Raw genomic sequence first — 27,906 nt, forward strand, 5'->3', positions numbered from 1 at the left:
CAGAACGTTTCCCTAGCCCTACTCCAGAACTACGCTTCCCAGAAGGCCCGGCTGCGACTCCATCTTGGATGACGTCGTGAGGCGCGGCCGCCTCCAGCGGCCTGAGTGATTGCTGTCGGGTTTCCGGGAGAGGGCGCTGTCCTTGCTCAGTGATGGCCGGAGAGCTGCACCCTGCACGTCTGGGCTTGAAGACAGAAATCCACCGTGAGGTGCTCCAAGGAACACTGATGGGCAGTTTTGTTAAAGTGATTGAACTCCGTGGGTACAGGAGTACGTGGAGTAATGAAGGATAATGCCCTGTAACCGCTTCCTCTTAGGAATGCTAGCTTTCACAATTGTGCAAACGGTACGCGAAACGTAATAAACTACAAAATATGTATAAGCTAAAACAGAAAACGAGTATACCACTTCCCAAAAGCAAAAGCGCTTAATGTTAGGTGAACATCCTTCTCATGAATTTACACAAATTTTAACCTAATGGTATAGAGTATCATGACTATCATTTCACTAAGGAATATATATAGTCATCCCTCCTTATCCTGGGGGTGCATATCTATGGATTCAACTAAGCTCAGAATGAAAATACTTAAAAATTCTATCTTACTGAACATGTACAAAGTTTCCCCCTTGTCATTATACCCTAAACAATACAATAAAACTATTTACATAGTATTTACATTGTGTTAGGTGTACAATTAATCTAGACATAATTTAAAATATACAGGAGGAGGTGTGTAGGTTATGCAAATATCAGGTTATTTTCTACCAGAGACTTGAACATCCCTGGATTTGAGTAATCCAGGGAGGTCCTGGTACTAATCCCCCGCGGATACAGAGAGAGGACTTGGCTGTATATGTAAAACAAATTATATATTTCCTGGTCAATAACTTTATTACATTAAAACATGTAGAATCATCTAGAAAAAAACGTATATATTGTCATGTGTATAAACACACATATATATACATATAAAAATATGCGCACATAATACACACACACACACCACCTTTCTGGATGGGAAGTATTGAGGAAATAATTTAAAATAAAGCCTCTTGCCAACCCAGAAAATTCTCTCCACAGATGGAGAAAAGAACAAAACAGTTACATTATTGAATAAACATTAAACCAGACTGCGATGTGCGTCACAGGCAACCCACTAATGAGTTTATGAAGACAGGAAGAACTATCATTTTTTGTATTAGCCGGTCTGGTACAACGCATTCTATTTCCTCAAGGTAAAAATAACTTGTCCTCAAGTAAGATGACTGTACAGCAACATTTGCTATGCATAATTCATCTGAAATTCACCTGATAATTAGGGTAGCCATCAGTGTTAGTTAATTGCCATTATGCAAATGAAAAGTAAAGTTTCTGGTATCTCTATGACACGCAGGTAGTTAACCGCGGGTAGCCAGGAGCCTAGGAGTTTACCACAGAGGCAGGGAGATGGGGTGCAATCTTCCTTGATGCTTACATTTCAAAGACATGACCCAAGGCCATTAAGAAAGACCTTCCTGGGTTGTTAAACTAGCAAGAAGCTTATTTACTTTTTAAAAAGTTTTGCTATATCTCACAGGGACAGAGAAGGGATTTACAATTACAAGTTTTCTTAAGGAAATGCTGTAAGAAAAGAGAGGAGTAAAGGTCTTTTTCCCTTTTTGCAAGAAGGAAAATTCAGTTGTTTTATTTTTTTCTTTGAGACAGAGTCTGGCTTTGTCACCCAGACTGGGATGCAGTGGCATGATCCCGGCTCACTGCAACCTCTGCCTCCCAGGTTCAAGGAATTCTCTGCTTCAGCCTCCTGAGTAGCTGGGATTACAGTCGCCCACCACCACGCCTGGCTAATTTTTTTTGTATTTTTAGTAGAGACGGGATTTCACCATCTTGGCCAAGGTGGTCTTGAGCTCCTGACTTCGTGATCCACCTGCCTCAGCCTCCCAAAGTGCTGGGATTACAGGCGTGAGCCACTGCGCCCAGCCCAAATTTTTATATTTATATTTACCCTTAGAGAAACTATAAAATTTAACACAATTTCAATCAAAATTTAAATTAAAAAATCTTAACGGGGAGCTTAGTTTTGTTTTACTTGATAAAATAATTTTTAACTTCCTCAGGAAACAACCTCAGGGAATAGCAAGGAACTGAAGACTAAACTCTGATTTTTTTTATCTTATCCAAATTTCTATCTAAGGGGTCTGAGGAGTTATGCCCTACAAACCATAAATTCATATCAGATGGGTTTTATTTAACCCCATAAAATGTGACTTACTTTCCAACCAGACTCTGGCATAACATTATGAGACAAGGAAGAAAATAAAAACATTTTACCCCAAAAACATGTTTGTCACATTTTGAAATGGCCCTGCAAGCCGTCCTTTGTGGGAAAATTTGCATCTCTAAATAATCTCTATTAACTAACATAGCTAGGCCTTTTCCTTCCAGGCCCTTCTAATTCTGAATAGATTGACTGAGAGTCTAGCACCTTTTAAAGGGTCTGAATAGGAAACATCTGTCATCTCTTGTTTTCAAGGATAGCCACTATGAGACTTCAAAAGAACTTTGGTCTCCACAACCTTTTATCTTAACCTGAACATTTCCTTTCTATTGATCCCAGCTCCTTAGACAAAAATTCAACCAATTGTCAACTAGAAAATGGTTAAATTTACCTGTAGCCTGGAAGCACCCCCACCCTTCAAGTTGTCCTGCCTTCCTGGAACAAACCAATGTATTCCTTAAATGTATTTGATTGATGTCTCATGCCCTCCTACAATGTATAAAATCAACCTGCACCCCCAACCACCTTGGGCGCATGTTCTCATGACATCCAGAGGGCTGTGTCAAGGTCCATGATCACTCACATTTGGCTCAGAATAAATCTCTTTAAATATTTTACAGAGTTGACTTTTTTCATTGACAGAACTTTTTTTGAAAATGCAAATTTAAAAAGTAATTTAAGGCTGGGCGTGGTAGCTCACCCCTGTAATCCCAGCACTTTGGGAGGCTGAGGTGGGAGGATCACGAGGTCAAGAGATCGAGAATATCCTGGCCAACATGGTGAAACCCTGTCTCTACTAAAAATACAAAAATTAGCTGGGCATGGTGGTGCATGCCTGCAGTCCCAGCTACTCGGGAGGCTGAGGCAGGAGAATCACTTGAACCTGGGAGGCAGAGGTTACAGTGGGCCAAGATCGTGCCACTGAAATCCAGCCTGGCAACACAGTGAGTCTGTGTCTCAAAAAATAAATCAATGAAATAAAAAGTAATTTAAGTTTGATGCTAGTTTCGAAAAAGCACAGAAGATCCAAATATACATGAGAATTTAGTATATGTTAAAATTTTCATTGAAAACAAAACAGTGTGGACATATATATATACCTTTTTTTCTTTTCTTTCTAATTTGGTCTTGAGGTCTCTCTCTCCTAAGGGTGGCTATAAACTATCCCTGTGGGGCTCCTGGAATTTGGTGTCATGGATATTTGGTGTGCCATATGTTAAAAGTTTCATTTCAAATTTACTGAAAGTCCACTCTTAATTTTTAGAAGTTAGTAAGTTCCAAGAGAAGTAGCAATTTGAAGTCACTGGTGAAGGGTTCACACAAGGTGAATTTTTACATTTGGTTTCTCCACAGCATAAGGAATAAAACTGTTCTTTTGAAATGAAGAAGAGAACCACCTAGGAGACTATCACCCTGACCTGAGGACTTCACTAGGGATTCAGGAAAGAAGACACAGAAAGAAAGCAATCCTCAAGGTGTTATATCTGAATAGTTTAATTTTACTTAAAAATGTTTTTATTGAAGTATAAAAAATATAAAAGTATGCAATGGCATGTGTATCACTGTATAATTGATAAGTGAATGATGAAGAGAGGTAAACACAAACATGTAAACACCAAGGAGTTCAAAGACAATATTACCAGTGCCTGAAGTCTCCTTGAATGACCCATTCTTTATTGGTCATTTCTCTCCCTCTCAAAAGTAGCCCCATCTTGATTTCTGGTTTTTTTTTTTTTTTTTTGAGATGGAGTTTCTCTCTTGTTGCCCAGACTGGAGTGCAATGGCACGATCTCAGCTCACTGCAACCTCTGCCTCCTTGGTTCAAGTGATTCTCCTGCTTCAGCCTCCTGAGTAGCTGGGATTACAGGCATGTGCCACCATGCTTGGCTAATTTTCTGCATTTTTAGTAGAGACAGGGTTTCACCATGTTGGCCAGGCTGGTCTGGAACTCCTGACCTCAGATGATCCACCCACCTCGGCCTTGGAAAATGCTGAGATTACAGGCGTGAGCCACTGCACCCAGCCCCCATCCTCACTTCTAACAATAAAGACCAGTTTTGCAATTTATTATTGCAATTTCTTTTACTCATTTATTTTGAGGTAATCTTATTTTTAATTTTTTTTTTAGATAGAGTCTCACTCTATCACCCAGGCCGGAGTGCAGTGGTGCAATCTCGGCTTACTGCAACTTCCATCTCCCAGGTTCAAGCTATTCTTGTGCATCAGCCTCCCAAGTAGCTGGGATTACAGGTGTTTGCCACCATACCCGGCTATTTTTTTCTATTTTTAGTAGAGTTGGGGTTTCACCATGTTGGCAGGCTGGTCTTGAAATCCTGACTTCAGGTGATCTGTCCACCTCCACCTCCCAAAGTGCTGGGATTACAGACGTGAGCCACTGCACCTGGCCTGAAGTAATCTTTAACTTATAAATAAATTGCAAAAGTAGGATAAAGAATTCTCCTATAGGCCAGGCATGGTTGCTCCTGCCTGTAATCCCAGCATTTTGAGAGGCTGAGGCAGATGGATCACGATGTCAGGAGTTTGAGAACATAGTGAAACCCCATCTCTACTAAAAATATAAAAATTAGCTGGGTGTAGTGGTGCACACCTGTAAGCTCAGCTACTCAGGAGGCTGAGGCAGGAGAATTGCTTGAACCTGGGAGGCGGAGGTTACAGTGAGCCAAGATCATGCCATTGTACCCCAGCCTGGGTGACAGACTGAAACTCCATCTCAGAAAAAAAAAAATTGAATTATCATATATCCTTCACCAAGATAATTCCATCATTAATATTTTGGCACATTTGCTTCATAATTTTTGCTATTTGTGTATATTATGTATTTATTTTTCTTAATCATTTGAGAGTCAGTTGTAGGAATCATTCCACTTTACTCCTAAGTTCTTAGCTGTATATTTTCTATCAGCAAGGATAAAATTCTCAGATAACCATGGTACAGTGCTCAAAATCAGAAAAATTTAACAAAGATATAATATCTAATCTATAATGTACAGTCCATGTTCAAATTTCACTGATTGTCTCAATTAAGTCTTTTTTTTTTTTTTCTTGAGATGGAGTCTTACTCTGTCACCCAGGCTGCAGTGCTGTGGCACAATCTCGGCTCACTACAATCTCCCCTTCTCAGGTTCAAGTGATTGTCCTGCATCAGCCTCCTGAGTAGCTGGGACTACAGGCATGCACCACCATGCCCGGGTAAATTTTGTATTTTTTTTTTTAAGTAGAGATGGATTTTCACCATGTTATCCAGGATGATCTCGATCTCTTTACCTCGTGATCTCCCCATCTCATCCTCCTAAAGTGCTGAGATTACAGGCATGAGCCACTACGCCCAGCCTTCAATTAAGACTTTTATAGATAATTGTTTTTCTGATTCAAGATCCAATTCAAAAACTGTTTCTGGGCTGGGTGTGATGACTCATGCCTGTAATCCCAGTACTTTGGGAGGCCGAGGCGGGTGGATCACTTGAGGTCAGGAGTTTGAGACCAGCCTGGCCAACATAGTGAAACCCCATCTCTACAATAGATACAAAAACTATCTGGGCATATCAGGGGAACCTGCCCCCAATATTTCAACATAGGTTCTTTCTATTTTCCATAAGTGTCAGCCGGCTGAGAAAAATAAAGAGAAAGAGTACAAAGAGAGGAATTTTACAGCTGGGCCTCTGGGGGTGACATCACATCGGTAGGACCGTGATGCCCACCTGAGCCTTAAAGCCAGCAAGTTTTATTAAGGATTTCAAAAGGGGAGGGGGTGCAAGAACAGGGAGTAGGTCACAAAGATCACATGCTTCTAAGGGAAAAATCAGAAACTCCTAATAAGGGTCTAACAAAGATCACAAGACAAAGGGCAAAGGCAAAGATCACAAAGCAAAGGGCAAAAACAAGATCACAAGGCAAAGGGCAAAAGCAGAATTACTGATAAGGGTCTATGTTCAGTGGTGCACGTATTGTCTTTATAAACATCTTAAACAACAGAAAACAGGGTTTGAGAGCAGAGAACCAGGCTGACCTCAAATTTAGTGGGGCAGGGTTTTTCCCCACCCTAGTAAGCCTGAGGGTACTGCAGGAGACCAGGGCATATTTCAGTCCTTATCTCAACCATGTAAGACAGACACTCCCCTCGGGAGGCTGAGGCAGGAGAATGGCGTGAACCCGGGAAGCGGAGCTTGCAGTGAGCCGAGATTGCGCCACTGCAGTCCGCAGTCCGACCTGGGCGACAGAGTGAGACTCCGTCTCAAAAAAAAAAAAAAAAAAAAAAAAAAAGACAGACACTCCCAAAGAAGCCGTTTATAGACCTCCCCACAGGAATGCATTCCTTTCCCAGAGTATTAATCCTTGCTAGGAAAAGAATTTAGCGATATCTTCCCTACTTGCACCTCCATTTATAGGCTCTCTGCAAGAAGAAAAATATGGCTCTATTTTGCCCAACCCCGCAGGCAGTCAGACCTTATAGTTGTCTTCCCTTGTTCCCTGAAAATCGCTGTTATTCTATTCTTTTTCAAGGTGCAATGATTTCATATTGTTCAAACACACATGTTTTACATTCAATTTGTACAGTTAACACAATAGTGGTCCTGAGGTGACATACATCCTCAGTTTACGAAGATAATAGGATTAAGAGATTAAAGTAAGACAGGAGAAAGAAATTATGAAAGTATTATTTGGGAACTGGTAAATGTCTATGAAATCTTCACAATTTATGTTCCTCTGCCACGGCTCCAGCCGGTCCCTCTGTTCAGGGTCCCTGACTTCCCACAACACAGGTGTGGTGGCCCGTGTCTCCTGAGTTGGAAGAATCACTTGAACCCAGGAGGCAGAGGTTGCAATGAGCCGAGATCACGCCACTTCACGCCAGTCTGGGCAATAGAGGGAGACTCTGTCTAAACAAACAAACAAACCAAAACAAAAACCGTTTCTGGCCAAGGTGGAGTAACAAGGACTGGATTTACCCTCCTGCCTAAAACAACTGAAGAAACCAGATAAAATATATGAAACAATGTTTTCAAGTCACTGGATATCAGGCAATGAGCACAGTGACCCATGAAACATGAAATAAGTAAGCTCTACATTTGCCACAGCTTACTGCCTTAAAAGAGTTTCCAGGCTGTGGCACAAGGAGGGGGATCCCAGGCTGAGCGTCATAGACTCCTTGAATTGAGGAGACGCAGCTGAGAGTCCAGAGACACCAAGGCAGCTAGAGTTTGTAGGACAAATTACCAAGGAAGAGAGCTGCACAGAGAGAGACAGCTCTGGTGATCTTCAGAAGGTCCCCTTGAAAACTCAGCAGAGTGCTGTCTGGAACATGCGTATGAGGATATCACCTGAGACTGGGGAATCATCCAAAAAGATTGAAGAGAATAGAGCCCAGTGATGCTGGAAAAAGTACCTGCTGTCACCAGCCAGGATGAGAAAATCATAATTCATGAGCACTGGGGTAGAGTACTCAGAATGATCTTGTCTCAGCAACAAAGAATAATTAGCCCTAGAATAAACACTACAAATGTTAAAAGCAAGACCCAACACTATCAATTAACTGCACCCCAGAAGAAGCCTCAAGAATATTTAGAGAAATACAAAAACATTTTATGGGGCTAAAAGCACCATAAAATTTGTAATATCTGCTAATCTCATTCAAAGATTAGCAGGCTTGGCCAGGAGTGGCTCATGCCTGTAATCCCAGCACTTTGGGAGGCCAAGGTGGGTGGATCACCTGAGGTCAGGAGGTGGAGAGCAGCCTGGCAAGCATGGTGAAACCCTCTCTCTACTAAAAAGACAAAAATTAGCTGGGCGTGGTGGCAGGCACCTGTAGTCTCAGCTACTCAGGAGGCTGAGGCAGGAGAACTGCTTGAACCAGGGAGTTGGAGGTTGCAGTGAGTTGAGATCACGCCATCGCACTCCAGCCTGGGCAACAGAGTGAGACTCCGTCTCAAAAAAAAAAAAAAAGATCAGCAGGTTTGCAAAGAAACAGAAAAATAATAACTCACTATGAGGAGAAAAATCAACTATGCAAAACTGACCCAGAACTGATGCACATGTCAGATTTAGCAGACAAGGACATTAAACAAGTTTCCATAACTGTGTTCTAGATGTTCAGAGACAAGCAGAGACATGGAAGATATTTATGGAAGATATTTTTTCTTTTTTTTGAGACAGAGTCTTGCTCTGTCACACAGGCTGCAGTGCAGTGGCACAATCTCAGCTCACTGCAGTCTCCGCCTCCTGGGTTCAAGCAATTCTCTTGCCTCAGCCTCCTGAGTAGCTGGGGTTACAGGCACATGCCACCACGCACAGCTAATTTTTGTATTTTTAGTAGAGACAGGGTTTCACCATGCTAGCCAGGCTGGTCTTGAACTCCTGACCTAGTGATCCACCCTCCTTGGCCTCCAAAAGTGCTGGGATTACAAGTGTGAGCCACCGCACACAGCCGACATGGAAGATATTAAAAGATCAAACCAAACATGTAGAGATGGAACTTACAATGTCTGTGATGAAAATACACTGAATGGGATTAACAGCAGATTAGAAACTGAAGGGAAGATTGGTACATTTTAAGATAGCAGTAGAAACTTCAAAATGAAACAATAAGAAAATATAAAAAATAAGAAGCATCAGTGAGCTGTGGGACAACTTTAAGCTGTCTGACATATATGTAATTGAAATCCACAAGAAGAGGGTGGAGAAGGGGACAGTAAAATTTTTATTTGAAACATTAATGGCCAGACATTTTATACATTTTATGAAAACCATAGTTGGGAGAACCAGGAAGCTTGATAAACTACAATCTGCAATTATAGTTTGAAATCTCATACTCCTTCTCAATATTTGGTGGAATAGAAAATCAACAAGGATATCAAAAACCTAAACAACACTATCAACCATGTTAGGTTATTGACCTGACATTTATAAAAAATTCCATTTTCCTGGCTGAGCATGGTGGCTCACGCCTGTAATCCCAGCAACCTTGGGAGGCTGAGGTGGGTGGATCACCTGAGGTTGGGACTTCGAGACAAGCCTGTCCAATATGAAGAAACCCCATCTCTACCAAAAATACAAAATTAGCCGCACATAGTGGTGCACGCCAGTAATCCCAGCTACTCAGGAGGCTGAGGCAAGAGAACTGCTTGCACCCAGGAGGCAGAGGTTGTGGTGAGCCAAGATCATGCCATTGCACTCCAGCCTGGGCAACAAGAGTGAAACTTGGTCTCAAAAAAAAAAAAAAAGAAAAAAATTCCATTTTCCAACAATAAAATACACATTCTGTTCAAGTACACATGGAATATTTACCAAAAATGACTATAATTTGGGCCATAAAAGATGTCTCATAAATTTAAAAGAATTCAAGTCATTCAAAATACATTCTTTGGCCATAATGGAGTTAAATTATAAATTAATACCTAATTATATTTGGATAATAATCAAATATTTGGAAACTAAATACCAAACTCATTTCTTCTTCTTTCTCCTCCTCTTCTTCTTTTTCCTCTTCTCTCCTCCTACTTCTCCCCCTCCCCCTTTGCCTCCTTCTCCTCTTTCTTCTTTTTCTTTCTCCTTCTCCTTCTTCCTTGTTTTCCTTCTCTTTATTCTTCTTTCTTTTCTTGTTTGTTGCCTAGATAGGAGTGCAGTGGTGTGATCATAGCTCACTGCAGCCTCCACCCTGGGATGAGGTGATCTTCTGGCCTCAGCCTCCCTAGTAGCTAGGACTACAGGCATGTGCCACCATGCCTCCAGCTGTTTTTCTTATTTTTTGTAGAGAGCAGGTCTCACTGTGTTGCCCAGGCTGGTCTCAAACTCCTGGACTTAAGCAATTCTCCTGCTTTGGCCTCTAAAATGCTGGGATTAGAGGCATGACCCATTGCACCCTACTTAAATAATATACTTCTAAATAACCCATGGGTCAGACCAGGCACGGTGGTTCACACCTGTAATCCCAGCACTTTAGGAGGCTGAGGTGGGTGGATCAGGAGGTCAGGAGCTTGAGACCAGTCTGGCCAACATGGTGAAAACCTGTCTCTACCAAAATACAAAAAATTAGCCAGACGTGGTGGACTGCGCCTGTAGTCTCAGCTATCAGGAGGCTGAGACAGGAGAATTTCTTGAACCCAGGGGACAGAGGTTGCGGTGAGCTGAGATTGTGCCACAGCACTCCAGCCTGGGTGACAGAGCAACACTCCATCTCAAAAAATAAAAAATAACACATGGGTCAAATTGAAAATTAAAAGGGGGAAATTAGAAGGTAATTTGAACTGCATGAAAATAAAAACACATCAAAATTTGTGGGATACAATTAAACCTGCACTTGGAAGAAAATTTTTAGCACTAAACATTCAAAAAAAGAAGTCTCTAATGAATGACCTCAGCTTCCCACCTTAAGGAACCAGAAACATTTAAGAGCAAAAATAGCTAAAAGTAAGCAGGAGAAAGGAAATAAATAAGCATCAGAGTGGAAATCAATGAAATAGAAGAAAATAGAGAAAATTAATGAACTGAAAAGCTGGTCATTTGAGAAGAGAAATAAAATTGACAAGCCTCCAGCCAGAGCGATTAGGAAAAGAGGGAACAAACAAATGACTAATATCAGGAATAAGAGTGGCACGATGGCTCACGCCTGTAATCCCAACACTTTGGAAGGCCAAGGCAGGCGGATCACGAGGTCAGGGGTTCAAGACCAGCCTGACAAACATGGTGAAACCCCGTCTCTACTAAAAATACACAAATTAGCTGGGGGTGGTGGCTCACACCTGTAATCCCAGCTACTCAGGAAGCTGAGGCAGGAGAATTGCTTGAACCCAGGAGGTGGAGGTTTCAGTGAACCAAGATCATGCCATTGCACTCCAGCCTGAGTGATAGAGCCAGACTCTGTCTCAAAAAGAAAAAAAAAAAAAAAAAAAAAAAAAAAGTACAGATTCTTCAGACCTTAAAATTAAGCAAGGGGCTGGGTGCCGTGGCTCACGCCTATAATCCCAGCACTTTGGGAGGCTGAGGTGGGTGGATCACCTGAGGTCAGGAGTTTGAGACTAGTCTGGCCAACATGATGAAACCCTGTCTCTACTAAAAATACAAAAATCTCTCCAAGATTGGGAACAAGACAAGGATTTCCACTCACACCACATCTGTACTACATTGTTCTGGAGGATCTGCTAGTATATTCAGGCAAGATAAAGAAATAAAGTAGGCCGGGTGCAGTGGCTCATGCCTGTAATCCCAGCACTTTGGGTGGCTGAGGCAGGCTGATCACAAGGTCAGGAGTTTGAGACCAGCCTGACCAACACGGTGAAACCCCGTCTCTTCTAAAAATACAAAAATTAGCTGGGCGTGTTGGCACACACCTGTGGTCCCAGCTACTCAAGAGGCTGAGGCAGGAGAATCACTTGAACCCGGGAGGCAGAGGTTGCAGTGAGCCAAGATCGCACCATTGCGCTCCAACCTGGGTGACAGAGATTCTGTCTCAAAAAAAAAAAAAAAGAAAAAAAAAAAGAAAAGAAAGAAAGTAGTTGGCCAGGCGCAGTGGCTCACGCTTGTAATCCCAGCACTTTAGGAGGCCAAGGAGGGCAGACCACCTGATTTCCGGAATTTGAGACCAGCCTGGCCAACATGGCAAAACTCTGTCTCTACTAATTGTCAGGTGTGGTGGTGCCTGCCTGTAATCCCAGTTACTTGGGAGGCTGAGGCAGGAGAATTGCTTGAACCTGGGAGGCAGAAGTTGCAGTGAGCCAAGATCACCAAGATCACGCAACTGCACTCCAGCCTGGCCAACAGAGGGAGACTGTGTCAAAAATAAAAATAAAAATAAAGTAGTTGACTTCTGGAATGGCAAAATGATTTCTGTGAAACTTCTCTCTAGTGAAACAATCTTTCTTGGTGAATTTTTTTTTAAATGACCACTTAATATTTTTGGAAGTTGTTTGTTGCTGTTGTTCTTGTTGTTTGTTTGAGATGGAGTTTTGCTCTTGTTGCCCAGGCTGGAATGCAGTGGCATGATCTCGGCTCACCGCAATGTCCACCTCCCGGATTCAAGTGATTCTCCTGCCTCAGCCTCCCAAGTAGCTGGGATTACAGGCACAAGCCACCACGCTTGGCTAGTTTTGTATTTTTAGTAGAGATGCGGTTTCTCCATGTTGGTCAGGCTGGTCTTGAGCTCCTGACCTCAGGTGATCCACCCACCTCGGCCTCCCAAAGTGCTGGGATTACAGGCATGAGCCACTGTGCCTGGCCGAGATTCTTGTTAGAATTTGCATTTTTTTTTTCAGGTTTTCCTTCTGTTTAAAACATATGAAACAACTGTGTTTAATTTAAATAGAATACTCTCTCTTTTTTAAAAAATAGAATACTCTCTTGAGCCCTGTGTTATTACTTTATTGAATATGGTGTGAACTAAGAAGCTGACTTTGTTTTCTTCTAAATGAATAGCCAATTGATCTTTCACTGTTAAATTCATTCGCTATTATTTCATGGATTTGAAATTTCTTTTTTATTGTGTACAAAATTATCCTTCGGAGTGGCTATTGCATTTGTAGGCTCTGCATTATTTTTCACAGTTTTCTACTGCTGGTGCTTAACCCAGATGGGCCAGTCACAGGACCTCACCCTCCTAGTCTCACATTGAAGATTTCATTGATGAGTTTTTGATTAAGTTGAACCACTGAGAGCTTATCCTAAGATTTTCATAACTGGAGGTGTTTATGTTCCAATTACTTGGTGACTGGAATGCATTTTCAGTAAGAGAAAAAATGTGTGGAAATGTAGGAAAGCAAAGAGAAGCATGATGGTGAACAGGCTCAAGCATTGTTTGAGCTGCTGATTCTACAGCTCAAAGACCCGCACCATACCTCTGCTGTGGCTTCTTCATGAAGCCAATAAATACCAATGTCTGGCTGTGCATGTGTGGCTCACACCTCAAATCCCAGTGCTTTGGGAGGATTGCTTGAAGCCAGGAGTTGGAGACCAACCTGGGCAACATAATGAGACCCTGTCTCTGAAAAAAATAAAAGAAAATTAGCTGTGTGGGGTGATGTGCATCTGTCATCCTAGCTGTTTGTGAGATTGAGGTGGCAGGTTGCTTGAGTCCACGTGTTCAAGATTATAGTGAGCTGTGATCACACCACCGCACTCCAGCCTGTGTGACAGAGCAGGACCCTGTCTCTAAATACTTAATACATACATACATTTCACTATTTTCCGTGTACCATCATCTGTTCTGAGTTCTGCTGCAATCAATTATTCATTGATACTGTGCTAAACATATTTTAATTATTATGCCTTTATTTATTTATTTATTTATATTTTTTGAGATGGAGTTTCAGTCTTGTTTTCCAACCTGGAGTGCAATGGTGCGATCTTGGCTCACTGCAACCTCCGCTTCCCGGGTTCAAGCGATTAATCTGCCTCAGCCTCCCGAGTAGCTGGGATTACAGGCATGCACCACCACGCCCAGCTAATTTTGTATCTTTAGTAGAGATGGAATTTCACCATGTTGGTCAGGCTGGTCTCCAACTCCCGACCTCAGGTGATCCGCCCTCCTCAGCCTCCCAAAGTGCTGGGATTACAGGTGTGAGCCACTGAACCTGGCTGACTTTAATATTTTTTAATATATTGTAGAATGTATTAGAATTCTTAGAATCTATTTGACACCCACCTCTTCTTTCAGGGATGGAATTTTTAAGATTTGGATTCAATTTTCATTCAACTGGATAGAACCAGCTTGCTAGAGCCATTCCATGAAGGAGACAGAGCCAGTGGCTAGGGCCTTGAGCTGCAATTGCCTTTCCCCATTTCCTCTCTCCCACTGTTCAGGCCCCACCCCACACTGTCTTCTGAAGAGGGCTCTCTGGGCCATGGTCATGAGTGCCATCTTTCCCTACCTGGGTCTCCTTCCTCCTCCTTATCAAGTCGCTGTCTTTTTTTTTTTTTTTTTTTTTTTTGAGACAAGTGTCTTGCTCTGTCACTCAGGCTGTGGCACAATCTTGGCTCACTGCAGCCTTTGCCTCTGGGCCTCAAGTGATCTGCCCACCTCAGCCTCCTGAGCAGCTGGGACTACAGGCATGCACCATCATGCATAATTTTTTTTTTTTTTGAGACAGGGTCTCTCTCTGTCACCCAGGCTGGAGTGCAGTGATGTGATCTCAGCTCACTGCAAGCTCCCCCTCCCAGGTTCAAGTGATTCTCCCAGCTCAGCCTCCCGAGTAGCTACAGGCATGTGCCATTATGCCTGGCTAATTTTTGTATTATTTGGTAGAGACCGGGGTTTAGCATGTTGGCCAGGCTGGTCTTGAGCTCCTGACCTCAAGTGATCCTCCTGCCTCAGCCTCCCAAAGTGCTGGGATTACAGGTGTGAGCCACCGTGCCTGGCCAATTTTTTTTTTTTAATATTTAGTGGAGACTGGGTCTCACTATGTTGCCCAGGCTGGTCTTGAAGTCCTGGACTCAAGTGATCCTCCTTCCTCAGCCTCCCAAAGGGCTGGGATTACAGGCATGAGCCACTGTACCTAGCCAAGTCTCTGTCTTTCATTCAACAAACAGAAGTCTCATTTGGACTTCCAGGAGGAGTCAGACTTTCTGTCTACTCTCCCGAACTTGTCTAACCCACCCTATTTGTTGTTGTTGTCCTGTTTTGTTTTGTTTCAGGATTTTAGCAGCCTGATTCCATGGTTTTTAGTTTCTGTCTCTAGTGATAAGTGGAAAAGAAGGATGAGGAATGGGCTTTGCTGGCCCAACCAGAAACAGAAACTAAGAACCCATGACTGTATTCACTCCCTTGGACACCCATGCTAAAGCATCTTCAGTGTGCTGTGTCAGGGTGGCAGGGTGGTAGGGTGGCTGCAGCTGCCATAACAAAGCACTGCAGCCTGGGCAGCAAAGACAATGGAAATCTATGGTCTTACTGTGTGGAGGCTGGAAGGCCAAGATCAAAGAGCAGGTTGGTTTCTCCTGAGGCCTCTTCTTGGTTTGTAGATAGCCATCTTTTCCCCGTGTCTGTCTCATGGTCGTCCCAGTGTGTGTGTCTGTGCTGTAATCTCTTTTTTTTTATAAAGACACCAGTCATATTGGATTATGATCCCCTTTTAACTTAATTACATCTTCTAAGGTCTTGTCTCAAAATGTCAGATTCTGAGGTACTGGGCATTAGGACTTCAACATGGGAATTTTAAAGGGGATGCAGTTCAGCCCATCACAGAGGGAGGGGATCTGTGCACAGAGTTTATCACACTGCTGCATGTGGGAAACTTTGGCTTGATGATTTCATCCTTGCCAAACCCCTCTTGCTTGCCTGGCTCTAACCAACAAAGCCTCAAAATCTAGACCACATACAGGCTTCACTGAGCACCTGCATAACTAAGTGGCTAAATGACTACCATCGACCCTTTCTCTGGCCTTAGGATCAGAATGGCCAGCAGGAGGCCATATGCACCTAAACCAGATGGAAGAAAATGGCCCGGGGTGACCAGCTGGCTCTCTTTATCAAGCTCAGACTCCTCAAGTCCCCGCTTGGAAGAACAGTCACAGATTCCATATACAGGTAAGCAGGAAACTGACATCTTTGTCTCTAGCAGTTGTTGAGCTGGTGCCTGCTAAGGAGATGCAGGAAGATAATGAAATTCACTGAATGAGCAAAATTGTGTCGCTGCTTGAGTAAGTTCATGTTTCTGAAGAGACAGCTCATAGCACACATCAGATCCTTAACCTGTGCCCCACTTTCCCCAAAAGAGTCACTTTCCAAAGGAGATTCAAATTCTGACCTATCCACAAACCTCACTTCCATGATTTTGAAAGTAAGAGGGTAGATTTCCTCTCAGAGCTCCATCTGGAGTCCTGTGCTCTATGCACCCTTGGGTGTCATCAGGGCCATGACTGTGTGGTGGCTTCCAGAAAGAAGTCCAAGGGAATCTGCCTGATTGCCTGGGGACTTCCTTGGCACAGAGTGATGGACCCTTCTCTCCCAGCACAGAGAGGGGCACTGGACTAAGGTGTAAGTGCCAGGGTTCTGAAGGGAGCAAATCACAGAAAGATAACTTGTATTTGGCAAGTTCCAGTGCCACACCCACTCAAGAAATTTCCTGGGAACTTGGAAGTGCTAAGTGAGCCCAACTGGAAAGGAAAGAATGATGGGGCGGGGGGAGTATATTTAGAAAGCTAGAGTTTAAAGCTTGACACTGTTCTCTTAAGCTCTTCTGGTTGGTTTTTTCCTCTGCTTATCATCTCTGGAGCTTCCTCTTGGTGCAGCTCCCTCCCCTGCAGACTCAGTCCTGCAAATGCCAGCTCCATTTCCTTTATTTTTATTTTATATTTTGCGACAGAGTCCTGCTCTGTCACCCAGGCTGGAGTGCAGTGGCACAATCTTGGCTCACTGCAACCTCTGCCTCCCAGGCTCAAGTAATTCTCTTGCTCAGCCTCCCTAGTAGCTGGCATAACAGGCACATGCTGCTACCACCTGGCTAATTTTTGTATTTGTAGTAGAGATAGGGTTTTGCCATGTTGGCCAGGCTGGTCTTGAATGCCTGACCTCAAGCGATCCACCCCCCTCAGCCTGCCAAAATGTTGGGATTACAGGTGTGAGCCACTGCACCTGGCCCCAGCTTCATTTCCTTTAACGAGGAAGAGCTCTGGGCTCTGCCTGGGGCTCCCATCCCCATGCCACTGCCTGGAATGTCTCACGCTATAAGCTGGGGCAGTCTGTGTAAGCTGGGGCAGTCGGAGGCACACCTCACTTGATTCCTGTCTCTCAGGAACACTGTCCTTCAACTGCCTGATGTCCATGGTCTGGTGCGCCATCATTTCCAACATTTTGTCTGCTATTCGAGTCCTTTCAGACGGGAGGATAAATTTGGTTCCTGTTACTCCATCTTGGCTAAAAGCATAAGTCCCATAGCCATTTATATATTCCAGAAAATAAGAGAAGTGAAGGCATGATCATTGTATGTTACTGTATTGTACCACTGTCCACATTGAACCTGTTGTTCCCACCACCGACATGTTCAGGAGTTAGTCTTTGTGGCTGTTCTGAGGCTGCCATAGTCCCCTCATCTTTCCAGTCTCTCTTCTGAGGCTGCAAGTCCTCTGGGGCTCTACCACTGTGTTTGTGGGAGCAAGGCAGATTGCAGCAGCCAGCAAGCCCCTTTTGCTCAGGGGGAATAGGTGTGAATGAGATCCTGGTAAGAGGGGCTGCTTTTCCTGGAAGTAAAAGGCCTCTCTGGGAATGAGGCCTGCAGTCCTTTTATTTAAGGGAGTTGGGAGGCAATGGTTGCTACCCACCTTTCAGACTCTGGACCTGTCATTAACAACTTCGTTCTTAGCGTCCCACCTTTCAAAGTCATCCCCCAGCTGGATGAGGGGTTATAACCTCAAGCATATTCTAAGAATTTCATCACCAAGTCATCCCTTTTTCCTCCTACAAGGAATTCAAGATCTCCAAGCAGCAGGGAGGGGGTTCAGAATACATATTCAAGTTGTTGCAGCTCAAAACACTGATGTAGACATGGCTGGCACCAACGTGGCTCTAGGACATACTCCAGGTAACAGAAAAGATGGTCAACGAATTAAGGATCCCAAATGGAGTCACAGATGGGAGTGGGGCCAGGGTTTGTGGGAATTGGATTCCAGGTCTCTGCATGCCTACTTGGATTAGCCTTCACATCTTGGGAGGTTGTCCCTGTGCAGCAATGAATGGGGCCTCATTAGGGAACTGGGGTGCTAGTTCCAGTTTGTAAGTGAGTGCTCTGTGATCTCACTTTGCTTTTCTGGGCTCAGATGCCTCCTATGCACAACAATGAGGGTTAATATTTGTGATGATTAATTTTATGTGTTAACTTGGTCACAGGGTGCCCAGATATTCTGGATGTGTCTGTAAGGGAGTTTCTGAATGAGATTAACATTTAAACCAGCTGACTGGCAGAATGGCTATTACTAAAAAGTCAAGGCTGGTCTGAAGGTACTGAGTTATCTCAACTGATTGTTCCCAGTCAGTTATAGACTGAACTCCTGGTTCTATTTTTTCTCCCCTTCTCACTACTGCACTTGACTAGTCTTAAAAAAAAAAAAAAAAAAGTAAAAAAGAATGGATGTTGGCATGGTTGCAGAGAAAAGGTAACACTTATATACTGTTGGTGGGAGTATAAACCTCTAAAGAACTCAGTGTGGAGGTTTCTCAAAGAACTGAAAATAGAACCAGCAATCCCAGTACTGGGTATCTACCTAAAGGAAAAGAAGACATTACATAAAAAAGCGGCTGGGCGCCGTGACTCATGCCTGTAATCCCAGCACTTTGGGAGGCCAAGGCGGGTGGATCACAAGGTCAGGAGTTTGAGACTAGCCTGGCCAACATAGTGAAACCCTGTCTCTACCAAAAAAAGACAAAAATTAGTCTGGGCACTGTTTTTCACTCCTGTAATCCTAGCACTTTGGGAGGCTGAGGTGGATGGATCACGAGGTCAGGAGATTGAGACCATCATGACTAACACGTCTCTACTAAAAAAAAAAAAAAAAAAAAGAAATGGCCTGGGAGGAGCCAAGATGGCTGAATAGGAACAGCTCCGGTCTACAGCTCCCAGCGTGAGCGACGCAGAAGACGGGTGATTTCTGCATTTCCATCTGAGGTACCGGGTTCATCTCACTAGGGAGTGCCAGACAGTGGGCGCAGGTCAGTGGGTGCGAGCCGAAGCAGGGCAAGGCATTGCCTCATTTGGGAAGCGCAAGGGGTCAGGGAGTTTGCTTTCCAAGTCAAAGAAAGGGGTGACGGACAGCACCTGGAAAATCGGGTCACTCCCACCCGAATACTGCGCTTTTCCAACAGGCTTAAAAAATGGCACACCATGAGATTATATCCTGCACCTGGCTCGGAGGGTCCTACGCCCACGGAGTCTCGCTGATTGCTAGCACAGCAGTCTGAGATCAAACTGCAAGACGGCAGCGAGGCTGGGGGAGGGGCGCCCGCCATTGCCCAGGCTTGATTAGGTAAACAAAGAAGCCGGGAAGTTCGGGAAGCTCAAAGTGGGTGGAGCCCACCACAGCTCAAGGAGGCCTGCCTGCCTCTGTAGGCTCCACCTCTGGGGGCAGGGCACACACAAACAAAAAGACAGCAGTAACCTCTGCAGACTTAAATGTCCCTGACAGCTTTGAAGAGAGCAGTGGTTCTCCCAGCACGCAACTGGAGATCTGAGAACGGGCAGACTGCCTCCTCAAGTGGGTCCCTGACCCCTGACCCCCAGGCAGCCTAACTGGGAGGCACCCCCAACCAGGGGCACACTGACACCTCACACGGCAGGGTATTCCAACAGAACTGCAGCTGAGGGTCCTGTCTGTTAGAAGGAAAACTAACAAACACAAAGGACATCCACACCAAAAACCCATCTGTACATCACCATCATCAAAGACCAAAAGTAGATAAAACCACAAAGATGGGGAAAAAACAGAACAGAAAAACTGGAAACTCTACAAAGCAGAGCGCCTCTCCTCCTCCAAAGGAATGCAGTTCCTCACCAGCAACGGAACAAAGCTGGATGGAGAATGACTTTGACGAGCTGAGAGAAGAAGGCTTCAGACGATCAAATTACTCTGAGCTATGGCAGGACATTCAAACCAAAGGCAAAGAAGTTGAAAACTTTGAAAAAAATTTAGAAGAATGTATAACTAGAATAACCAATACAGAGAAGTGCTTAAAGGAGCTAATGGAGCTGAAAACCAAGGCTCGAGAACTATGGGAAGAATGCAGAAGCCTCAGGAGCCGATGCGATCAGCTGGAAGAAAAGGTATCAGCAATGGAAGATGAAATGAATGAAATGAAGCGAGAAGGGAAGTTTAGAGAAAAAAGAATAAAAAGAAATGAGCAAAGCCTCCAAGAAATATGGGACTATGTGAAAAGACCAAATCTACGTCTGACTGGTGTACCTGAAAGTGACGGGGAGAAGGGAGCCAAGTTGGAAAACACGCTGCAGGATATTATCCAGGAGAACTTCCCCAATCTAGCAAGGCAGGCCAACATTCAGATTCAGGAAATACAGAGAACTCCACAAAGATACTACTCGAGAAGAGCAACTCCAAGACACATAATTGTCAGATTCACCAAAGTTGAAATGAAGGAAAAAATGTTAAGGGCAGCCAGAGAGAAAGGTCAGGTTACCCTCAAAGGGAAGCCCATCAGACTAACAGCAGATCTCTTGGCAGAAACCCTACAAGCCAGAAGAGAGTGGGGGCCGATATTCAACATTCTTAAAGAAAAGAATTTTCAACCCAGAATTTCATATCCAGCCAAACTAAGCTTCATAAGTGAAGGAGAAATAAAATCCTTTACAGACAAGCAAATGCTGAGAGATTTTGTCACTACCAGGCCTGCCTTACAAGAGCTCCTGAAGGAAGCACTAAACATGGAAAGGAACAACCGGTACCAGCCACTGCAAAATCATGCCAAAATGTAAAGACCATTGAGACGAGGAAGAAACTGCATCAACTAACGAGCAAAATCACCAGCTAACATCATAATGACAGGATCAAATTCACACATAACAATATTAACTTTAAATGTAAATGGACTAAATGCTCCAATTAAAAGACACAGACTGGCAAATTGGATAAAAAGTCAAGAACCATCAGTGTGCTGTATTCAGGAAACCCATCTCACGTGCAGAGACACACATAGGCTCAAAATAAAAGGATGGAGGAAGATCTACCAAGCCAATGGAAAACAAAAAAAAGGCAGGGGTTGCAATTCTAGTCTCTGATAAAACAGACCTTAAACCAACAAAGATCAAAAGAGACAAAGAAGGCCATTACATAATGGTAAAGGGATCAATTCAACAAGAAGAGCTAACTATCCTAAATACATATGCAGCCCATACAGGAGCACCAAGACTCATAAAGCAAGTCCTGAGTGACCTACAAAGAGACTTAGACTCCCACACAATAATAATGGGAGACTTTAACACCCCACTGTCAACATTAGACAGATCAACGAGACAGAAAGTTAACAAGGATACCCAGGAATTGAAGTCAGCTCTGCACCAAGCGGACCTAACAGACATCTACAGAACTCTCCACCACAAATCAACAGAATATACATTTTTTTCAGCACCACACCACATCTATTCCAAAATTGACCACATACTGGGAAGTAAAGCTCTCCTCAGCAAATGTAAAAGAACAGAAATTATAACAAACTATCTCTCAGACCACAGTGCAATCAAACTAGAACTCTGGATTAAGAATCTCACTCAAAACCACTCAACTACATGGGAACTGAACAACCTGCTCCTGAATGACTACTGGGTACATAACGAAATGAAGGCAGAAATAAAGATGTTCTTTGAAACCAATGAGAACAAAGACACAACATACCATAATCTCTGGGACACATTCAAAGCAGTGTGTAGAGGGAAATTTATACCACTAAATGCCCACAAGAGAAAGCAGGAAAGATCCAAAATTGACACCCTAACATCACAATTAAAAGAACTAGAAAAGCAAGAGCAAACACATTCAAAAGCTAGCAGAAGGCAAGAAATAACTAAAATCAGAGCAGAACTGAAGGAAATAGAGACACAAAAAACCCTTCAAAAAATTAATGAATCCAGGAGCTGGTTTTTTGAAAGGATCAACAAAATTGATAGACTGCTAGCAAGACTAATAAAGAAAAAAAGAGAGAAGAATCAAATAGATGCAATAAAAAATGATAAAGGAGATATCACCACCGATCCCACAGAAATACAAACTACCATCAGAGAATACTGCAAACACCTCTATGCAAATAAACTAGAAAATCTAGAAGAAATGGATAAATTCCTGGACACATACACTCTCCCAAGACTAAACCAGGAAGAAGTTGAATCTCTGAATAGACCAATAACAGGAGCTGAAATTGTGGCAATAATCAATAGCTTACCAACCAAAAAGAGTCCAGGACCAGATGGATTCACAGCCAAATTCTACCAGAGGTACAAGGAGGAACTGGTACCATTCCTTCTGAAACTATTCCAATCAATAGAAAAAGAGGGAATCCTCCCTAACTCATTTTATGAGGCCAGCATCATTCTGATACCAAAGCCAGGAAGAGACACAACAAAAAAAGAGAATTTTAGACCAATATCCTTGATGAACATTGATGCAAAAATCCTCAATAAAAAACTGGCAAAACGAATCCAGCAACACATCAAAAAGCTTATCCACCATGATCAAGTGGGCTTCATCCCTGGAATGCAAGGCTGGTTCAATATACGCAAATCAATAAATGTAATCCAGCATATAAACAGAGCCAAAGACAAAAACCATATGATTATCTCAATAGATGCAGAAAAAGCCTTTGACAAAATTCAACAACCCTTCATGCTAAAAACTCTCAATAAATTAGGTATTGATGGGACGTATCTCAAAATAATAAGAGCTATCTATGACAAACCCACAGCCAATATCATACTGAATGGGCAAAAACTGGAAGCATTCCTTTTGAAAACTGGCACAAGACAGGGATGCCCTCTATCACCACTCGTATTCAACATAGTGTTGGAATTTCTGGCCAGGGCAATTAGGCAGGAGAAGGAAATAAAGGGGTATTCCATTAGGAAAAGAGGAAGTCAAATTGTCCCTGTTTGCAGATGACATGATTGTATATCTAGAAAACCCCATTGTCTCAGCCCCAAATCTCCTTAAGCTGATAAGGAACTTCAGCAAAGTCTCAGGATAAAAAAAATTAATGTACAAAAATCACAAGCATTCTTATACACCAACAACAGACAGACAGCCAAATCATGAGTGAACTCCCATTCACAATTGCTTCAAAGAGAATAAAATACCTAGGAATCCACCTTACAAGGGATGTGAAGGACCTCTTCAAGGAGAACTACAAACCACTGCTCAAGGAAATAAAAGAGGATACAAACAAATGGAAGAACATTCCATGCTCATGGGTAGGAAGAATCAATATCGTGAAAATGGCCATACTGCCCAAGGTAATTTACAGATTCAATGCCATCCCCATCAAGCTACCAATGCCTTTCTTCACAGAATTGGAAAAAACTACTTTAAAGTTCATATGGAACTGAAAAAGAGCCCGCATCGCCAAGTCAATCCTAAGCCAAAAGAACAAAGCTGGAGGCATCACACTACCTGACTTCAAACTATACTACAAGGCTACAGTAACCAAAACAGCATGGTACTGGTACCAAAACAGAGATATAGATCAATGGAACAGAAGAGAGCCCTCAGAAATAACGCCACATATCTACAACTATCTGATCTTTGACAAACCTGAGAAAAACAAGCAATGGGGAAAGGATTCCCTATTTAATAAATGGTGCTGGGAAAACTGGCTAGCCATATGTAGAAAGCTGAAACTGGATCCCTTCCTTACACCTTATACAAAAATCAATTCAAGATGGATTAAAGACTTAAACGTTAGACCTAAAACCATAAAAACCTAGAAGAAAACCTAGGCATTACCATTCAGGACATAGGCATGGGCAAGGACTTCATGTCTAAAACACCAAAAGCAATGGCAACAAAAGACAAAATTGACAAATGGGATCTAATTAAACTAAAGAGCTTCTGCACAGCAAAAGAAACTACCATCAGAGTGAACAGGCAACCTACAAAATGGGAGAAAATTTTCACAACCTACTCATCTGACAAAGGGCTAATATCCAGAATCTACAATGAACTCAAACAAATTTACAAGAAAAAAACAAACAACCCCATCAAAAAGTGGGCGAAGGACATGAACAGACACTTCTCAAAAGAAGACATTTTTTGCAGCCAAAAAACACATGAAAAAATGCTCATCATCACTGGCCATCAGAGAAATGCAAATCAAAACCACAATGAGATACCATCTCACACCAGTTAGAATGGCAATCATTAAAAAGTCAGGAAACAACAGGTGCTGGAGAGGATGTGGAGAAACAGGAACACTTTTACACTGTTGGTGGGACAGTAAACTAGTTCAACCATTGTGGAAGTCAGTGTGGCAATTCCTCAGGGATCTAGAACTAGAAATACCATTTGACCCAGCCATCCCATTACTGGGTATATACCCAAAGGACTATAAATCATGCTGCTATAAAGACACAGGCACACGTATGTTTATTGCGGCATTATTCACGACAGCAAAGACTTGGAACCAACCCAAATGTCCAACAATGATAGACTGGATTAAGAAAATGTGGCACATATACACCATGGAATACTATGCAGCCATAAAAAATGATGAGTTCATGTCCTTTGTAGGGACATGGATGAAATTGGAAATCATCATTCTCAGTAAACTATCGCAAGAACAAAAAGCCAAACTCCGCATATTCTCACTCATAGGTGGGAATTGAACAATGAGATCACATGGACACAGGGAGGGGAATATCACACTCTGGGGATTGTTGTGGGGTCGGGGGAGGGGGGAGGGATAGCATCGGGAGATATACCTAATGCTAGATGACGAGTTAGTGGGTGCAGCGCACCAGCATGGCACATGTATACATATGTAACTAATCTGCACAATGTGCACGTGTACCCTAAAACTTAAAGTATATAAAAAAAAAAAAAAGTTAGCTGCGCATGTTGGCAGGCACCTGTAGTCCCAGCTACTTGGGAGGCTGAGGCAGGAGAAGTGTTTGAACCCAGGAGGCAGAGGTTGCAGTGAGCTGAGATCAAGCCACTGCACTCCAGCCTGGGCGAGAGAGCAAGACTCCATCTCAGAAAAAAAAAAAAAGTGTAGCTCAAGCCTATTATCCTAGCAATTTGGGAGGCTGAGGGGGGCAGATCCCTTGAGCCCAGCAGTTCATGACCAGCCTGGGTAACATAGCAAAATCCTATCTCTACAAAATATACAAAAATTAGCCAAGTGTGATGGCATGTGCCTGTCGTCCCAGCTACTTGGTAGATTGAGGCAGAAGGATCCCTTGAGCCCAGGAGGTTGAGGTTACAGTGAGCCAGGAAAGCACCACTGCACTCGAGCCTGGGTGACAGAGTGAGACCCTGTCTCAAAAACAAACAAATAAAACCCAGCATTTATATATTCCTAGCAGCACTATTCACGATATCAAAATTATGGAACCAAGCTAAGTGTCCATCAACAGTTGACTGAATAAATAAAATATGGTACATATGTGCCACAGAATATTACCCAGCCTTTAAAAAGAATGAAATTATGTCCTTTGCCACAATATGGATGGAGCTGGAGGCCATTATCATAAGCAGAGTAACTCAGAAACAGAAAACCAAATACTGCATATTCACACTTATAAGTGGGAGCTAAACAATCGGTACAAATTGACACAAAGATGGAAATAATAGACAACTGTGGACTCCAAAAGGGGGGAGGGTGGAAAGGGGTGAGGACTCACTATTTGGATAATGTTGACTATTTAGGTAATGGGTACACTAAAAGTCCAATCCCCACCAGTTCACAATATGCCCATGTAGCAAACATGCACATGTACTCCTGAATCTAAAATCAAACAAAGTTAAAAACATAAAAAGCTTAGTTATGCTAAAAATAACTCCCCCCCTCAAAGAAAAACAGCAAAAGCCCCCACTAAAACAAGAGAAAACATAACTGGTAGGCTGAGTAGACTGTCTTCCTGATGTGAGTGGGCCTCATCTGGTCAGTTGAAGGATTGAATAAAACAAGCCTTCTTATTGACACATTAGCTTTTTCCTGCCTTAGGACTTGAATTGAAAGATCTGCTCTTCCTGGGCCTCATGCTTGCAGGCCTTCAGCCTGGAACTACACAACTGGCTCTCCTGGGTCCCCAAACATGGACTCATCATCCTTCAGATCTTGAGAGTTGTCAACCTCCATAATTGCATGATTGCATAAGCCAATTCCTTATGATAAATCTCTCTCATATATATACACATATGTAAATATATACACATGTATATATGCAAGTATACAAACACACACACACACATGCACACACACACTTAGTTTCTCTGGAGAACCTGATATAATACTTAAAGCACATTTAATGAGGAATTACAATATTCCAGGTAGGCCTTGGGCTAGGGGCTCCTACATTTTATTTTCAGAACCCTGGGTGGTAGAGTAGATTGACCCAGTTTGAAGATGGTAAGTGAAAACCAGAGAGGAGTTCCAGATCCAGTGAACTACTTTCACTTGTTAGTGGGGACACAAGCTTCATCCAAATTGGTAGGCCACTCCTGCCACCCCCAGCCACTCTGGGGTGGATAAGTGGTCATTCCCAGGAAGGTGATCAAGCTCCCCTTCTGTCCTTATGGGACGGACTTTTCCAGGGCCCAACCTTACCGCAGTTCAGTAGTCTGCCTCTGTGCTGCTCCTGTGACTGTCCCGCAACTCCCGAGTCGGTTGCGTTTGCACTGTCAGGGGAAGGCTCCAATAAACAGGAGAGCCATTCTCCTTCTGGGCTAAGTCTTACCCAGTGGCACCAAGGGTCCCAAATCTCCTGCATCCTGTGGCTCTAGCCCACAGGCAAAGGAGACAGAAACCTGCCATCTCCAATCCCAGACAGGCCCCCAGATATGTTACGGGACAATCAGAGATGGGAGAGACCGAACAGAATTCAGGAAAGCCTTTATTAAGTTGATCACCTGGCTCAGTAGGACTAGTGTCCAGGAAAGTCTGAACCCTGGACAAAGAATGCAGCCTCCTTTTAAGCTTCCAGTGGCCAGGAGCTATGTGATGCAGGAAGTGTACTTACAGAAGTGAGAACAAAGGCAGTTGATCAGTCTTTTACATTTACCTATACTACTTGTTCCACATCCTTGGGAAACAATGTTTCTGTAACATATACTTATCAACCTTGTAACTTTGCAGCTGCACTAGGGAGGTGAAGCAGGAATTCACTGAGCCCCAAGGAATGGGAAACTGGTGAGTACAGATAAGGCTTGCTGAGCACAGAAGGAAAACCAGGCAGTTAGTATTCTTCTCTAACTTAGACTATGGGGGTGGGGGCTATACTACACTTAGCTTAGAAGGAAAAAGTAAAAATTTCTTGGTGGTCTTTGATTATACTTGCAAAATTCATGAATTCCTTCTTCATTGGAGGTTGCAGTGAGTTGAGATCATGCCACTGCGCTCCAGCCTGGTGACAGAGCTAGACTCCGTCTCAAAAAAAAAAAAAAGTATTTGTAAATTTGGGATACAATTTACATACAAAAATTACTCCCTTAAAAGTGTGTAATTCAATAATAATTATAGTCACAAAGTTGTACAACCATCACCACTATCTAATTCCAGAACATTTTGATCACCCTTCAGCTTCTTTTAGTTCTCCCAGAACTCTCCACATTGATCCCACTCTGGCTACCAGCACTAGCTGGACAGTAATGACTCTCAGAGGTGAACACAATATGCCTCAACATGCCTTTCTGGAAGTTCACATAGGAACTGCACAGCACCTGAATTCCAGTTCTGCAAAGCTCTTCTCTGAATACTGGAGGTACCAGCATGATCCTGGCACTGCCCCTGCCTCCGCTGTCTGTCTAATTGTAGCTCTCTGGGGCCACTCTTGTGAGTTTCTAAGTTCTGAGGACCTTAATCTTTTCCACTGTTTCCCAGCCCTAGACAGGTAGCTGCTACCTGATGTTGTCATCCCGTGTTAGCTCAGTGTTCATTTTTACCATTAAAACACCTGCTTTAAATAATCTTCATCAAATTCTC

The 27,906-nt window shown here is 43.1% G+C and overlaps 1 long non-coding RNA gene across 3 annotated transcripts, besides 2 other annotated features; it reads left to right on the forward strand.

The window, feature by feature from the left end:
• Positions 2 to 231: an enhancer, noted in NCBI's record as "active region_3272". NCBI's record gives its function as "activates an Ori minimal core promoter by ATAC-STARR-seq in GM12878 lymphoblastoid cells {active_cell/tissue: GM12878}" and the evidence as "EXISTENCE:reporter gene assay evidence [ECO:0000049][PMID:35858748]".
• ZNF25-DT (ZNF25 divergent transcript) lies at positions 96 to 27,896 on the forward strand. 3 transcript variants are annotated; one of them, XR_001747428.2, is made up of 7 exons: positions 96 to 346; positions 1,082 to 1,236; positions 3,630 to 3,751; positions 15,668 to 15,807; positions 17,684 to 17,800; positions 27,061 to 27,114; positions 27,505 to 27,869. It is a non-coding gene; the product is annotated as a ZNF25 divergent transcript (long non-coding RNA). The 3 variants fall into 3 exon arrangements; XR_930830.4 differs by lacking the exon at positions 1,082 to 1,236 and having other exon boundaries at positions 27,505 to 27,896; XR_001747429.2 differs by lacking the exons at positions 1,082 to 1,236; positions 17,684 to 17,800.
• Positions 8,422 to 8,570: a silencer, noted in NCBI's record as "fragment chr10:38274009-38274157 (GRCh37/hg19 assembly coordinates)". NCBI's record gives its function as "represses an EF-1alpha promoter that drives an FKBP-Casp9 reporter gene in an ReSE screen in K562 erythroleukemia cells {active_cell/tissue: K562}" and the evidence as "EXISTENCE:reporter gene assay evidence [ECO:0000049][PMID:32094911]".
• Positions 27,897 to 27,906: the final 10 nt, after the last annotated feature.

The sequence above is a fragment of the Homo sapiens genome, chromosome 10 (genome assembly GCF_000001405.40).
Source record: "Homo sapiens chromosome 10, GRCh38.p14 Primary Assembly".
Lineage (NCBI taxonomy): Eukaryota > Metazoa > Chordata > Mammalia > Primates > Hominidae > Homo > Homo sapiens.